The sequence below is a fragment of the Homo sapiens genome, chromosome 3 (assembly GCF_000001405.40).
Source record: "Homo sapiens chromosome 3, GRCh38.p14 Primary Assembly".
Lineage (NCBI taxonomy): Eukaryota > Metazoa > Chordata > Mammalia > Primates > Hominidae > Homo > Homo sapiens.
The window spans coordinates 57837340-57852549 of NC_000003.12; the positions used below are offsets into that span (position 1 = coordinate 57837340).

The 15210-nt window shown below is 39.2% G+C and overlaps 1 protein-coding gene across 48 annotated transcripts in view, besides 1 other annotated feature; it reads left to right on the forward strand.

Annotated features, from left to right (window-relative positions):
• SLMAP (sarcolemma associated protein) overlaps positions 1-15210 on the forward strand; it is a 173705-nt gene that overhangs the window by 81031 nt on the left and 77464 nt on the right. For all 48 annotated transcript variants that reach the window (NR_165328.1, XM_005265456.5, XM_005265468.5 and 45 more), the window contains 3 exons: positions 3960-4032; positions 9858-9894; positions 12415-12477. Coding sequence is in view for 47 of the 48 variants with exons in the window: in XM_005265456.5 (XP_005265513.1) it covers positions 3960-4032; positions 9858-9894; positions 12415-12477 (173 nt within the window). In the remaining variant the exon portion in view is untranslated. The remainder of the gene's footprint in view (positions 1-3959; positions 4033-9857; positions 9895-12414; positions 12478-15210) is intronic.
• Positions 3185-3234: an enhancer, noted in NCBI's record as "active region_19997". NCBI's record gives its function as "activates an Ori minimal core promoter by ATAC-STARR-seq in GM12878 lymphoblastoid cells {active_cell/tissue: GM12878}" and the evidence as "EXISTENCE:reporter gene assay evidence [ECO:0000049][PMID:35858748]".

Genomic DNA, 15210 nt, shown 5'->3' on the forward strand with positions numbered 1-15210 from the left:
CCCATTAATCTTCATCTATCTTTTGTTTGTTTGTTTGTTTGTTTTTTGAGACAAGGTCTCACTCTGTTGGCCAGGCTGGAGTGCAGTGGCACGATTTCGGTTCACTGCAAGCTCTGCCTCCTGGGTTCTTGCCATTCTCCTGCCTCAGCCTCCCTAGTAGCTGGGACTACAGGCACCCACCACCACGTCCGGCTAATTTTTTTGTATTTTTAGTAGAGACAAGGTTTCACTGTGTTAACCAGGATGGTCTCTCTCTCCTGACCTCGTGATCTGCCTACCTCGGCCTCCCAAAGTACTGGGATTACAGGCGTGAGCCACTGTGCCTGGCCCCTAAATCTCTTTTAAACCAAGCATTTCCCAAACTCATCAGACCCTCAGATCCTTTTTTGTAACACTTGCTAGCATTTTGGGAAATGCTGCTATGTGTAGTTGATTAATATAAGTATTAGAACAAAATATTTTCATCAGGTTGCTTTAATTACTTGCCTGTTGCAAATCAAAAGGATAACATGTCTATGCATGTGTGTATCTGGTTGTCATGAGAATCACATTAAAGGCATCGTTGACTGGACTAAATTGTGAGCTTAGTCAGACGTGGGTTATTTTTGTTTTTGTTTTTTAAATTGCCTTCAACTGTGCAGCAACTCTGTACTGCCCAGTCAATATTAGCCCTTGGTTCATCTCATAGATTTGCGCATCAGCTCATTTGCTGAACTTTCAGGGTAATGTGTCTGAACAACAGAATTACTGATGTTGTATATCACAGGTTGTCACCTCTGGAACTAGTTTTATTCTATAACTTGTTCTACCTATTTTTCTTTTTTAAAAAAACAACTTTCTACCAAATTAAAGTGTAGGTATTGCTGGATCTTCATGTTGTATTATGCTCCTGTATTTATTATAGGCTATTTATAGTGAATGTCTTGAGGAGCCATCCTCTAGAAACTCATTTATCATAAGAGAGAGAAATCCATCTCTTCTGTCTTTTGCCTGGGAAAGGAGAAAGCTAGGTGGTTCCTACAAATAGAGATGAACCCTAATGTCTTAAAAGTAAGAAACATCTTTGCACAGGAGTAATGGGAGCTATAAAATACTAAGCAGGCATGTTCCTCAACATCTTCAGTAAAATGCTTTCTGTACCAGATGACTCTGCTAAGTACACAGGTTTTTAAACTGAGAAGCAGATAATCCTTGATGCCCTCAAAGAGTTGAATCTAATTGGTGAGACAACAGTTTCTGTAAATCGTAAATATTCACAATGCAATGTGCTTAATGTTTTAAGAAATAGATATAGGAGGCTCTGGGGACATCTTACCCAGATACTGAGCTTTGGTGAAGGAATTAGAAAATCTGAGCCTGGAGACTAAGTAGCACATGGTCATGCAGGCGAGAGGATAAAAACATTGCTTACAGAAGGGACAGCCTGTGTAAAAGGCATGGGGCTGTGAAAGGTAAAGTGCTTGGAGATCGCAGGTAGCTTGGCTTTGTATAGGATATCCTTCGTAGCAGGATAGAGGATGAGGTCAGACAGGAATGAAGGAGCCCAGTGGTTCATGGCCATGGTTATTGTGCTGGGCAGAGTTTAGAAGACTGCCAATAGATGGTTCTGTTTTTTATTGTTGTTTGTTTGTTTGTGTTTTTGAGACAGGGTCTTGCCCAGCTGGAGTGCAGTGGTGTGATCATGGGTCACTGTAGCCTCGAACTCCCAGGCTCAAGCGATCCCCCAGCCTTAGCCTCCTGAGTAGCTGGGTACAGGTGTGCACCACCCCCACCCTGCTAATTTTAAAATTTTTTGTAGAGAGTGGGTCTCACTATGTTGCCCAAGCTGAACTCAAGTGATCCCCCCACCTCAGCCTCCCACAGCACTGGGATTAGGGGTGTGAGCCACTGTGCCCTGCCAATAGATGGTTCTTGATCTGTGTTAGCACTTTTTATATAATCAATTAGTAATGAAAATCAATATTGAATACATGGTGTTAAATTCCTTAATTTTAATGTGCATTTCCAGATGACAGTCATATTACTTCATGTTTATAATATCATCTTGATGATTCGTCGGCCTGATCATTTAATATCCCCAAATGCATTAGCTCTATTTTTTTTTTTTTTTTTTTTTTTTGAGATGGAGTCTCGCTCTGTCACCCAGGCTGGAGTGCAGTGGCATGGTCTCGGCTCACTGCAACTTTCGCCTCCCAGGTTCAAGCAGTTCTGCTGGCCTCAGCCTCCCGAGTAGCTGGGATTGCAGGCACCTGCCACCATACCGGCTATTTTTGTTTTTTTCTGGGATGGAGTCTCACTCTGTCGCCCAGGCTGGAGTGCAGTGGCGTGATCTTGGCTCACTGCAACCTCTGCCTCCCAGGCTCAAGCGATTCTCCCACCTCAGCCTCCTGAGTAGCTGGGATTACAGGCACCCACCATCATGTTGAGCAGGCTGGTCTTGAACTCCTGACCTCAGGTGATCTGCCTCGGCCTCCCAAGGTGCTAGGATTACAGGCATAAGCCACCATGCCTGGCCTAATTTTTGTATTTTTAGTAGAGGGGTTTTGCCATGTTGGCCAGGCTGGTCTCGAACTCCTGACCTCAGGTGATCTGCCCACCTCAGCCTACCAGAATGCTGGGATTACAGGCGTAAGCCACTGTGCCCAGCCTAAGTTTTATATTTTTAGTAGAGGGGTTTTGCCATGTTGGCCAGTCTGGTCTCAAACTCCTGACCTCAGGTGATCCACCTGCCTCGGCCTCCCAAAGTACTGGGATTACAGGCGTGAGCCACTGAGCCCGGCCTAATTTTTGTGTTTTTAGTAGAGAGGTTTCACCATGTTGGCCAGGCTGGTCTCAAACTCCTGACCTCAGGTGATCCATCCACTTTGGCCTCCCAAAGTACCGGGATTACAGGCGTGAGCCACCATGCCCGGCCAACATTAGCTCTATTCTTAAAATTCAGTTTTGTTGAGATATAATTTACGTATAACACAATTTTACATGTACAATTCAGTGAGTTTTGACAAATATATATGGTCTCATAACCACCACTCCCCTAATCATGATGTAGTGTATTCTCATCAGCCTGCATTAGTTTTTAATCAGAGCTTAGTGAAATAAATAATTCTTTGAACTCTGGAAAATGTAATACAGTATTTGAAGAATAAAGAGAAATAAAAAACCGTCAACCTTCAAGCCAGAAAACAATTTTTTAAAATTAAACCCACATATAGAGAAACTCTGTACAAGTGCTACTTTCAGGAGTTTTGTCTCTTAAAATCTTCAATAGGAAAAGGAGGAAGTAAGATGCAACAGTGAGAAGCTGTCTACAAAGGGACTGTACTGATGTCATTTTGGGGGTGGAGGAAGAAACAACTATCAAGAAAACAAAACAAAATTTTAAATATTGAAATGGAAACATGAGACACTAGCAAACAATTCTGATACTTAATAGCAGAGAATTGTGGAAGCAGTTTCACTTGTCTGAGGTCTTGGTTTTCTCACCCATAAAATGGGGGATTGAGTGGCATTTCTCAACTGTATTATGCAGAACTTTAGAGTTTTGTGAGGTGTGGTTAGGTGTGTAATAGGTTGGGGAAGGGAAGATTTGGAATAAGAACTATATTTTAAATTTGGGAATAGTCAGACCTTATGTTTGATACTGGCAGATGGGGAAAAGTGTATTTCCCCCTCACAATTTTATTTCCATATATTCAACTGACTTTTTATTGACTATTATTACAGAATTGGAGATTAAGACACTTTTCAAAATGATTCTATCCTTATTTCTACCTTGAAATTGTGATTCGTTATGGACAAGATGAGTTTCTCCAGGGTAATAATGTCATTAAACCACTAGCTTTATTTTCTTTCTGAGAAATTGTTACTTTTAAGAATAAACTATGTTTACATATGAGAGGTGTGAAGTTTTATATTTTTAAACAATTATTTCATCCATATTATTTGTTTGTTTCAACCAGTTACCCATGGGTGTATTGTTTCCACAATAAAACTTTTTCTACCAGATGGTATGGAAGCCCGGCTCCGCTCAGAGTGAGTATAATTTAGTACTGTGAAGTTTTTGTGAAGTTTAGTACTGTAAAGAATTTAGTAATAATATTCTAGGTGATGGTGTACTGCTAATACCTGCTTCAGGACTATTTAAATAATATTAGAAAATTGATTAGTACTTTTTGGAATATAATACACTTCAGTTTAAATTGCTTCTTTGCTTTAGTTACAATTCTAGTAAATAATAATGTATCAAAGGCAAAGATTATTTTGTTTCCAAATTTAATTTATATTTTGATGGATAATTAGTTGTTTTTCACAATGTTTCAAGTATATAAGTTACTGGTAAGTGATAGCTTCATTCCTTTTTATTTTCATTTAATATAGGACTTCTTAAACTGTGATCACTTCTGGTATTAATGCCAGTGTCACAATCTTATAAGACCTTGAGGATACCAATATAGTTGTTAGCTTATTTTGGTGGGAGGTTTTTGAAGATTTTTCCAATGTCCTATTTACTTTTTGTATGAAGGAGTGTAAAGGTCATTTAGAGGCCGACATTTGAAAGGGAAAATTACCCATAAAATCTAGATTTTTAAAAGCATATGTAAGTACATTTTGATCTTGGGGTTTTCAGAGATTATTATTATGAAGTGTTGAAGGGAGTTGAGCAATCTTTAAACTTAACATTTTTTATTTGTGGGAAAAGCCTTGAATATGCTAGAAGCTTGTTTTTATACCCAACATAATATTTTCCTGTCTTTCAAAAACAGAGACAGTGACCTGAGGGTAGGAGGTTAAGAGAAGCAATAAATTGAAGGAAAAGTAGAGCATTGAATAGGAAAGTGAGAAGGAAAGATTAAGCAGAGCGAGGCCCTCCCATTACTGTCCGTGCTTTCAGTAGAATCATTTATTTTATGCTTGTTAGAAGCCACATACTTTTCCTTGTTTGTTTACTTTTCAAGATATCTGAAGCAAAATAGCATAGGTTTTAAAACATTTTAATTCTTTTTTTCCTTTTTTTTTGTCCTTGGCATATGAAGTAATATCGTAAATTTAAAACATTAATGTGTTTTCTATTTGCGATTACAGCTTAATTATTAAAATTAAAATAAACTTTAGGAAGTTTAATATAACTTAGCTTTTAAGAGTTAAGAATTAAGGTTTTAGAAATGAGTAACTATTAATCAACTAATGATATATTGCTTCTTAAAGACCTTGATGTTTGTATTTGATAATGAGATTTTTCTTTCATGCAGTTTGAAAACTTTGAACAGTTACGTAAGGAATCATCTGTGTTCTCAGGTTCCATCTAGTAGAACTTGTAAATTTTTTCAAAGTCAGTTGGAATGTATTGTGTCTCTATCCTTTGTGTTTCTCTAATTCTTTTCATCTTTGCCCATTTTCTTCTCATTGTTTGTCTTTTCTTATATGGTTAAATATTAGTATCACTTAAATTTTTGCTGCCAATATAGTTATACATAATCTAACTTTCTGGAGAAGATGAATTTTGAACAAGCAATTCTCCAGAGCTGGAGGAAGATCAGAATGGCCTTTAGAGTTGGGTAGTCCAGTTTAAAGTCTGACTCCACTTGTTCTGTGACTTGATCAGGCAACATTTTTCTCATTTGAAATATGAAGATGATGATAGTACCTATTTAACAGGAATTTTATGAGAATTAAACAAGATTTAGTACTTAAAGAACTTGGCATAGTACTTGGCATATAATAAGCACACAATAAACTTTAGCTGTTTCTATTACTGTAAACTAATTTTTAAAAGCATTAAGATGCTTTTGGGTATGCCAGAAAGCCTAGAGTTTAAGTTCCATTGTGTACATAGCATTTATTGCTTTTAAGAACTTCAGAAGATAGTAAGTACTCAACAAGCTGACTTTTTTCCTTCCTTAATTTTTATTACACTGCACAAATAATTTTCCTTTTGTTTTGTTTTCTTTTTTCTTTCTTTCTTTTCCTTTTTTTTTTTTTTTTTTTTTTTTCTTTGACAGCCTGGTTCTGTTGCCTAGGCTGGAGTGTAGTAATCTCGGCTTGCTGCAACTCCACCTCCCGGGTTCAAGCAATTCTTGTGCCTCAGCCTCCTGAGCAGCTGGGACTACAGGTGCACACCACCACGCCCAGCTAATTTTTTGTACTTTTAGTAGAGATGGGTTTTACCATGTTGCCCAGGCTGCTCTTGAACTCCCGAGCACAGGCAGTCCACCCACCTTGGTCTCCCAAAGTGCTGGGATTATAGGCCTGAGCCACCACGCCTGGCCAATAATTTTTAAATGATAAGAAACAGAGAGGCCTGGTCAATAATTTTCTAATGATAAGAAACAAAGAGGCCCAGCCAATAATTGCCTTCCTTCCTTCCTTTTCTTTCTTTCTTTCTTTTTCTTTCTTTCTTTCTTTCTCTCCCTTTCTCTCTCTTTCTTTCTTTTCTTTCTTTTTTTTTTTTTTTTTTTTTTGAGACAGAATCTCACTTTTGTCAACCAGGCTGGAGTGCGGTGGGATGATTTCGGTTCACTGCAGCCTCCACCTCCCAGGTTTAAGTGATTCTCCTACCTCAACCTCCCAAGTAGCTGGGATTACAGGTGCATACCACCATGCCCAGCTAATTTTTGTGTTTTCAGTAGAGATGGGGTTTCACTATATTGGCCGGGCTACCTCAAACTCCTGACCTCAGGTGATCTGCTCCCCTCAGCCTCCCAAAGTGCTGGGATTACAGGCATGAGCCACTGCACCTGGGCCAACCATTTTCTAATGATTAGAAACAGAGAGGCCTGGCGCAGGTGGCTCGTGCCTGTAATCCCAGCACTTTGGCACTCTGAGGCGGACAGATTGCCTGAGCTCAGGAGTTTGAGACTAGCCTGGGCAACAGGGCAAAACCCCGTCTCTACTAAAAATACAAAAAATTAGCCGGGCGTGGTGGTGAGCGCCTGTAGTCCCAGCTACTCAGGAGACTGAGACACGAGAACAGCTTGAACCCCGGAGGCGGAAGTTGCAGTGAGCCAAAATCAGACCACTTCACTTCAGGCTGGGTGACAGAGTGAGACTCTGTCTCCACAAAAAAAAATTTTAAAAATTAAAAAAAAAAATTGCATATAATCCCACCACTCTAACACTAAGTAACTATTTTCATTTTCCACATTTCCTTCTTATGGTTTGTATATGCATATGAACTTAATTCATACTTCAGAATATACTTATATCCAGGGTAGTTTTTGTAAAATACAGATGTATATCACTTATGGAATGTGTTGCCGGATTTTTAGCCATTTGTTTATTAATGGGATTGTTATGAGAAGATTTTATACTTGGGTCACTAAGAAAGGTGAATTAAAAAAAAAATCCCTATTATACCATTTGTTTCTATTTAGACTTTTTTTTTTTTTTTTTTTTGGAGATGGAGTCTTGCTCAGTTGCCCAGGCTGTAGTGCGGTGGTGTGATCTCGGCTCACTGCAACCTCCGCCTCCCAGGTTCAAGTGATTCTCCTGCCTCAGCCTCCCAGGTAGCTGGGATTACAGGTGCCCTCCACTACACCCGGCTGGTTTTTGTATTTTTAGTAGAAACAGGTTTCACCATGTTGGCCAGGCTGTTCCCAAACTCCTAACCTCAAATCATCTGGCATTTAGACATTCTTAAGTTCATTTCACTATATGTGCATATCTGCAGAGAAAAGGATATATACCCACAATGGTTATCTCTGAGTGCTGGTATTGAGTAATTTTTATGTATTTCCTCATGATTTACTTCACACATTTTCCATAATCAATATTTGTTATATTCAAGAAAAATAAATTATTGTTTAAAATGCCTATTTCAATGTTCTGGAGTAAAGTTATACATAATTTTAAAAAAATCTTTACTAGGCACCAACTTTGTTAGGGCCTGCTGATGGGCTTTGGGCATATACAGGTGAATAGGTCATAGTTCCTGAGAACACAGATGTATAATCAAAGAAGGACAGTAAAGTTTATGTAGGCTCAATGAAGTCTGTATCATGGGTGCTCAGAAGGGAGGTGGGTGCTGGTAGTTAATATTCCATTTTATTCAGCATTTTAGTGTATTTGTGACTAGTTGAATTAGACCAGTTCTTACAGTGTTTGCAGTTATTAAGGTGGGATCAAAATTATTCCTATTTTTAACTCACATCTAATCAGTTTTTCAGCAGCTTACATATGATTTATCAGTTCAAGCTAAGAACTTTACTCAGTCAACCTTCAAGCTAACCATTATAAGAATGGCCTCTAGGATGTGGAGTGATTAGCAGCTGGTAGAGGTCATGCGTGGTAGCCTTGTTTTGAGTCCCCTGTACTCACCCCCAACATAAACAGTATCTTACAGGGATTTGTAAAATAGGGACTCCAGCTTCCTTAGCTGCTGTATTCTCATGAGAGTAATAGTAGTGATCAAGTCCATTTCCAAAGCACTGTTTTAAGCTTTTATTCATATGAATACATTTAATATCCCCAATAACTCCATGGAATTGGTTGTATGATTATCTCCCCCCCACCTTTTTTTTTTTGGAGATGGAGTCTTGCTCTATTGCCCAGACTGGAGTGCAGTGGCATCATCTCGGCTCACTGCAACCTCTGCCTCCCAGGTTCAAGTGATTCTCCCACCTCAGCCTCCCAAGTAGCTGGGACTACAGGCACATGCCACCGCACCTGGCTGATTTTTGTATTATTAGTAGAGATGACGTTTCACTGTGTTGGCCAGGCTGGTCTCGAACTCCTGACCTCGTGATCCGCCCACCTTGGCCTCCCAAAGTCCTGGGATTACAGGTGTGAGCCACTGTGCCTGACTCGATTATCTCATTTTATGCATGAGGAAGCTGAGACCTATATTGATTAGGCAATTTGCCTTTCAGCTGGTGGGTAGAGCTAGATTTTGGACCCAGTATAATTTCTGAGATGCTATACTACCTTTTTGTCAGCAGTAGTTATCAGGCCAACAAGGCAACTGGTACCAATTAATGCCATCTATTTAATGTTTTGTTCTGAGTTCAGTTTCATACATACATCTAAGTTTTCAGTTAGTTTCTGAGGTGGCTGGGTAGAGAAGAGGAATAGTAGTGTTTTGATTAAAGTTGTTCTTCACTGGAACAAGTTTCCAAATTATAACCTTGCTTTCCAGAACTTTGCTTTTTAAGACTTTCTGTATAGGAATGTTTAATTTTAAAAGAACATAATTTACATATTTCAAAATTGAAAATGGATAATTTTTTTTTTTTTTTTTTTTGAGACAGAGTCTCACTTTGTCACCCAGGCTGGAGTGCAGTGGCGCAATCTTGGCTCACTGCAACCTCCACCTCCTGAGTTCAAGCGATTCTTATGCTTCAGCCTCCTGAGGAGCTGGGACTAATGGTGTGCGCCACCACGCCCAGCTAATTTTTTTATATTTTTAGTAGAGACAGGGTTTCATCATGTTGACCAGGCTGGTCTTGAACTCCAGACCTCAGGTGATCCTCCCGCCTCAGCCTCCCAAAGTGCTGGAATTACAGGCATGAGCCACCATGCCTAGCCGAAAATGGATAAAGAGTACTCCTTTTCTGTATAGAAATTCGTATAATCAAGTAATTCATCATATCCCTCAAAAAGTAGTGGCTCCTCAAAGAGCATTTAATACATTTTGGATTTGGAATTTGTTTTTAGAACTATATTGATGTGTACAAGGTAGGTTTACATATTTTTGTTTTCTAAGAATTTTATACATTTATGAAGGATTGAAAAATAGTTCACCTTTTTTTAATTACATGAAGGCAAATGTATAAACTTTGTGGTGTAAGATATTCTGGTGCTCTCATACTCTGTTTCCTCTATTGTCCGGATATTAGATAAAACTTCTAAATTTTACTTTTCAGTGTCATCCATGCACCATTACCAAGTCCTGTTGACAAAGTAAGTTGCTAATGATTATTTTTTCCAAACTGACTCAGCTATGTTGCTTTGAAAATGTTTGTTTTTAATATGCTTTACCTAGAAATTTATTTCTCTTTTATAACAAAATATGTAGAATGCATATAGCTATATAGTTATTATAATCTTCTGATCTTCAATATCTGGAGAATCTAAGATGGATGTTTCTTCAGAAAAAGGCTTTGTTATCTCAGTTAAATTATTCACTGTGTAAACTAGGAGTACCTGTTTTGTGTCTAGCCAGGGATAAGGAGTATTCGCTGTTACTTTTTATTCTGAGATACAAGTCTGTCTAGAAATTTGTTTAAGTTTCTACCTAAATAGTTCACTCAACATTTCCCAATACAGGGAGGTAATACAGAAATACAGGCTTACAAAAATTGTTCTTTTATTTTCTTTGAAGGTTACTTTTTACCTGATCTGATCAGAAACTTTGCAATAATTGCTTGCTAGAAAGCATTTTTCTTTTGTTCAGAAATAATGGTTTATTCAATTATAGGTTTCATTGCTAATTAGCCCCCCAAAATACATCTTTTGACATTAATGTGAGAGTCTAGTTTTCTTAGTGCAGTAACTAAACTAGTGGAAAAAATATTTTATGTTTTTCTTCCATTTGAATGAAGAATGAAAGCCTGCTTAAAACTGAAGTTCTCTGTTAGACTCCTTTTTTAAAAGTAAAAGTGGTTAATCATCAACTTCTGCAATACCAAAGATTATTCAGAAGTAAATAATGGTCCTGCTAATTTAGAACTAAATTTAAAAAATAATGCCAACTCTCTGCTGTCTCGTCAGCATATTAATTAAAGTATACTTTCCAAGCTTAATAAGGACTGGTGCTATAACATCATTAATAAGCTGACACATAGGGGTGAATATTACAGCAACCCAGTAGTCCTTCTTCCTTCTTCTTCTCCTCCTGCTCCTGCTCCTCCTCCTCCTCCTCCTCTTCTTTTCTTTCTTCTTTCCTCCTTTTCCTCCTTCTTGGTTTTTTCTCCTTCTTCTCCTCCTCCTCCTCCTCTTACTCCATCTTCTCCTCCTCTTTCTCCTCCTCCTTCTCTCCCTTCTTCTCCCCCTTCTCCTCCTCCTGTTTCTTCCTTTTACTTTCTTCTTTCTTCCTCCTTCTGCCTTCTTTCTTTTTCCTTCTTATTCTTCTTTCTTCCTTCTTTCTTCTTCCTTCTTTTTTCTTCTTCGTCCTTCTTCCTTCTTTCTTCTTACTCGTTTTTTTCTTCGTCCTCCCTCCTCCTACTTCCTTCTTCTTTCTTCTTCTTCCTTCTTTCTCCTTCTTCCTTCCCTTTTTCCTCCCTCCTTCTCCTTTTTCTTCCTCTTCCTGCTCCCTCCTCTTCCTCCTTCCTCCTCCCCCTCTTCTTTTTCTTCTTCTTCCTCTTCCTTTTCTTCCTCCTCCTCCTTCCTTCTTCTTTTTCCTCTTCCTTCCTTCTTCTTTCTTCCTCCTCCTACTCCTTTTTTTTTTTTTTTTTTTGAGACAGTTTCACTCATGTTGCCCAGGCTGGAGTGCAATGGTGCAATCTCAGTTTACTGCAACCTCCGCCTTCGAGGTTCCAGCGATTCTTCTGCCCTGGCCTCCCAAGTAGCTGGGATTACAGGCATGTGCCACCATGCCCTGCTAATTTTACGTTTTTAGTAGAGACGGGGTTTCTCCATGTCGGTCAGGCTGGTCTTGAACTCCCAACGTCAGGTGATCTGGCTGCCTCGGCCTCCCAAAGTGCTGGGATTACAGGCGTGAGCCACCGTACCTGGCCCTTCTTCTTTTTTTTTTGAGATGGAGTTTCGCTCTGTCGTCCAGGCTGAAGTGCAGTAGCGTGACACGGGGTTTCACCATGTTGGCCAGGCTGGTCTCTCGAACTCCTGGCCTCAGGTGATCCATCCCCCTCGGCCTTCCAAAGTGCTGGGATTACAGGCATGAGCCACTGCGCCCGGCCCTTTTTTGTTTGTTTTTCTTTTTAATAATGCCATGGTTCTATATTCTACAGCCTTGAAAAAACCCTTATAGAAGATATTCCTTATAATACTCTTGAGTTCTAAATAGTTTGACTATGACTTACAGTGTTTAAACACCATTACTTCCCATCTTTTTTCTTAAAACCTACCTATGGATTTCAAGAAACATTGCCTCAGGCCACTGGACAAAGTGTTGTATTTCATGCCCCTGCCCTACCTATACCACATAAAAATACCATTTTGAAGATGGCTACTTCTAAATGAATGAGGCTTGTTAAAATATTAAAGAAGTATTTAATGATGAATTTTAAAGGGAAAATATGTGGATCTGTTGATTAGGAGGTTTTATTTCTGGATTAAGAAACGGCTATATTTCCGTCAGAAAAGAAAAAAATTTAAAAGGCTATATTGCCTTTGTGCTATAAATTTGTGATTTTAATAACAGTTATTTTGCATATTTAAGTAAGTAGACATTTCAAGAAATTGGTTTGTCTTTAATGTTCTTTATGAAGTGTTTTCTGTTGATACTGTGTCATTTGTTTCTAGGTTGCTGCTAACACTCCAAGTATGTACTCTCAGGAACTATTCCAGCTTTCTCAGTATCTACAGGTAAAAGTACATCTTGAGACTTCTTAAAAGCAGAATTTCTTTTAAACTTTTAAAAGTTCTTAAAAGCAGAATTAGGGCCAGGCATGGTGGCTAATGCCTGTAATCCCAGGACTTTGGGAGGCCTAGGCAGAAGGATTCTTTGAGGCCAAGAGTTTGAGACCAACCTGGGCAATAAAGTGAGACCCCTTTAATTTAAAAAAATTTTTTTAATTAACCAGGTGTGATGGCGTGCATCTGTAGTCCCAGCTACTTGGGAGGTGGAGGTGAGAGGATTACTTGAGCCCAGGGGGTCGAGGCTGCAGTGAACTTTGATGGCACCACTGCACTCCATCCTAGGCAACAGAGCAAGACCCTGTCTGAAGAAAAGAAGGGCAGAATTAAACAACTTATATTTTATTTTGCAAATTCACAAATATAGGATAAAAAAATGGCTGGATGCAAATAGAAAAGAAATACTGTCTTTTCAAAAAAGAACAAAGGATTAAAAGTAGATCTTATGAAGAAAGATAAAAGAGTCAACATTAAATCTAGAGAAAAGCCTTTGTACAAGAGGAATTTTTTTGTTCAAGTATGAGGAGGTTCCAAAACAGTTTTTAAAAATCTGTTTTCAAATTTTTTTGGAGACAGGGTCTCGCTCTGTCTCTCAGGCTGAAGTGCAGTGGCATGATCAGAACTCACTACAGCCTCGAACTCCTGGGCTCAAGTCTTTTTCCTGCCTCAACCTCCCAAAGTGCTGGGATTATAGGTGTGAGCCGCCATGCCGAGCCCCAAAACAATTCTTTATCCATAGATGACTTTTGTTTTGTTTTATTTTATTTTATTCTGTTTTATTTTTGAGATGGAGTCTCACTCTGTAGCCCAAGCTGGAGTGCAGTGGTACAATCTCAGCTCACTACAACCTCTGCCTCCTGGGCCCAAGCGATTCTCCTGCCTCAGCCTCCTGAGTGGCTGGGACTACAGGCATCCACCACCCACAGCTGGCTAATTTTTTGTATTTTAGTAGAGACAGGGTTTTACCATGTTGCCCAGGGTGGTCTCAAACTCCTGAGCTCAGGCAATACACCCACTTCAGCCTCCCAAAGTGTTGGGATTACAGGCATGAGCCATGGCGCCCGGCCCATAGATGACTTTTAAATAAAAAATAACTGGGAGAGATTTTGATTGCTTAATAATATTAATAGCAAGTAATTATATAGCACTTATTATATGCCAAGCTTCATTCTAGCACTTTACCTATATTATTTAATTCTCACAACAGTCTTACAAGGTGCATATTTTATTCCTATTTTTACAGATAGAGTAACTGAGAGGCAGGAAGATTTAATAATTTATACAGTATCACATATCAAGTATATGGTAGAGCTGGGATTTGAACCTGGACAGCCAGACCTCAGATTTTCTGCTTTGTGTAACTACTGTGCTGTGCTGCTGGATTCACAGAATAATTTCTTGGTGTAGAGCAGATACTGCTTCAAGTTAATGCCATATTTAAAGAACCGTATAAATCTTTAAAAAGCAAACAAGTGTTTTGGGTTGTTTTTTTTTTTTTTTCTGGTTTTTGTGGGTTTGGGCTAGATTATGTTTCTTATTCTGGTGAGGGAGCATGGTTAAAGAAAACTCCTGGATCAGGAGATTAGAGACTGAGGTATTTTTTGTTTTTGTTTTTTTTTTTTTGAAATGGACTTTCGCTCTGTCACCCACGCTGGAGTGCACTGGCGCAATCTAGGCTCATTGCAACCTCCACCTCCCGGGTTCAAGCAGTTCTCCTGCCCCAGTCTCCCGAGTAGCTGGAATTAAAAGCATGTGCCACCACACCTGGCTAATTTTTTGTATTTTTAATAGAGTAGAGTACATTTTTAGGTTTCACCATGTTGGCCAGGCTGGCCTTAAACTCCTGACCTCAAGTGATCCATCCACCTTGGCCTCCCAAAGTGCTGGGATTACAGGTGTGAGCCACCGCACCAGGCAAGATTGAGGTTTTTATCTTAGTTCTGCTACTCAACCCACTTTTGTGACCTTGAGTGAGTCATTTTATGTGGGTAGGCCTTCAGTTGTCTTTTGTTTCAAATAATAGAACCAAACCTGTGATCCTGGGTCCCTATATTCTTTTTTGAGGTGGAGTCTTGCTCTGTTGCCCAGGCTGGAGTGCGGTGGCGTGATCTTGGCTCACTGCAACCTCCACTTCCCGGGTTCAAGCGATTCTCCTGCCTCAGCCTCCTGAGTAGCTGGGACTACAGGCATGTGCCACCACGCCTGGCTAATTTTTTGTATTTTTAGTAGAGAGGAGGTTTCACCGTGTTAGCCAGGATGGTCTCCAATCTCCTGACCTCGTTATCTGCCCACCTTGGCCTCCCAAAGTGCTGGGATTACAGGCCTGAGCCACCACACCCGGACCCCTACATTCTTTTATAGGAATCAATCAGTGAGAACAGTTTCATCTTAGTTAAGAATGTACACATCTATGAAAATGAACAGAAAATTATCAATGTATTAATCAGATCTTATCTTCCACCAGGCATAATGTATGCATAGAAAAACATTACACATTTGGATTTTAATAGAGTATTTAAGAGTATTCTAAGCCAAAATTCCCTCATTTAATCCTTGGCTTTAATTTCTGACCTACTGGAAAAGTTGTTTAACCCTTTTGTGCCTCATTTTCCTCATCTGTGAAATGGATATAGTAATAGCACTTAACTTACACAGAATTGTGAAGAATAAAAAAATTAATAT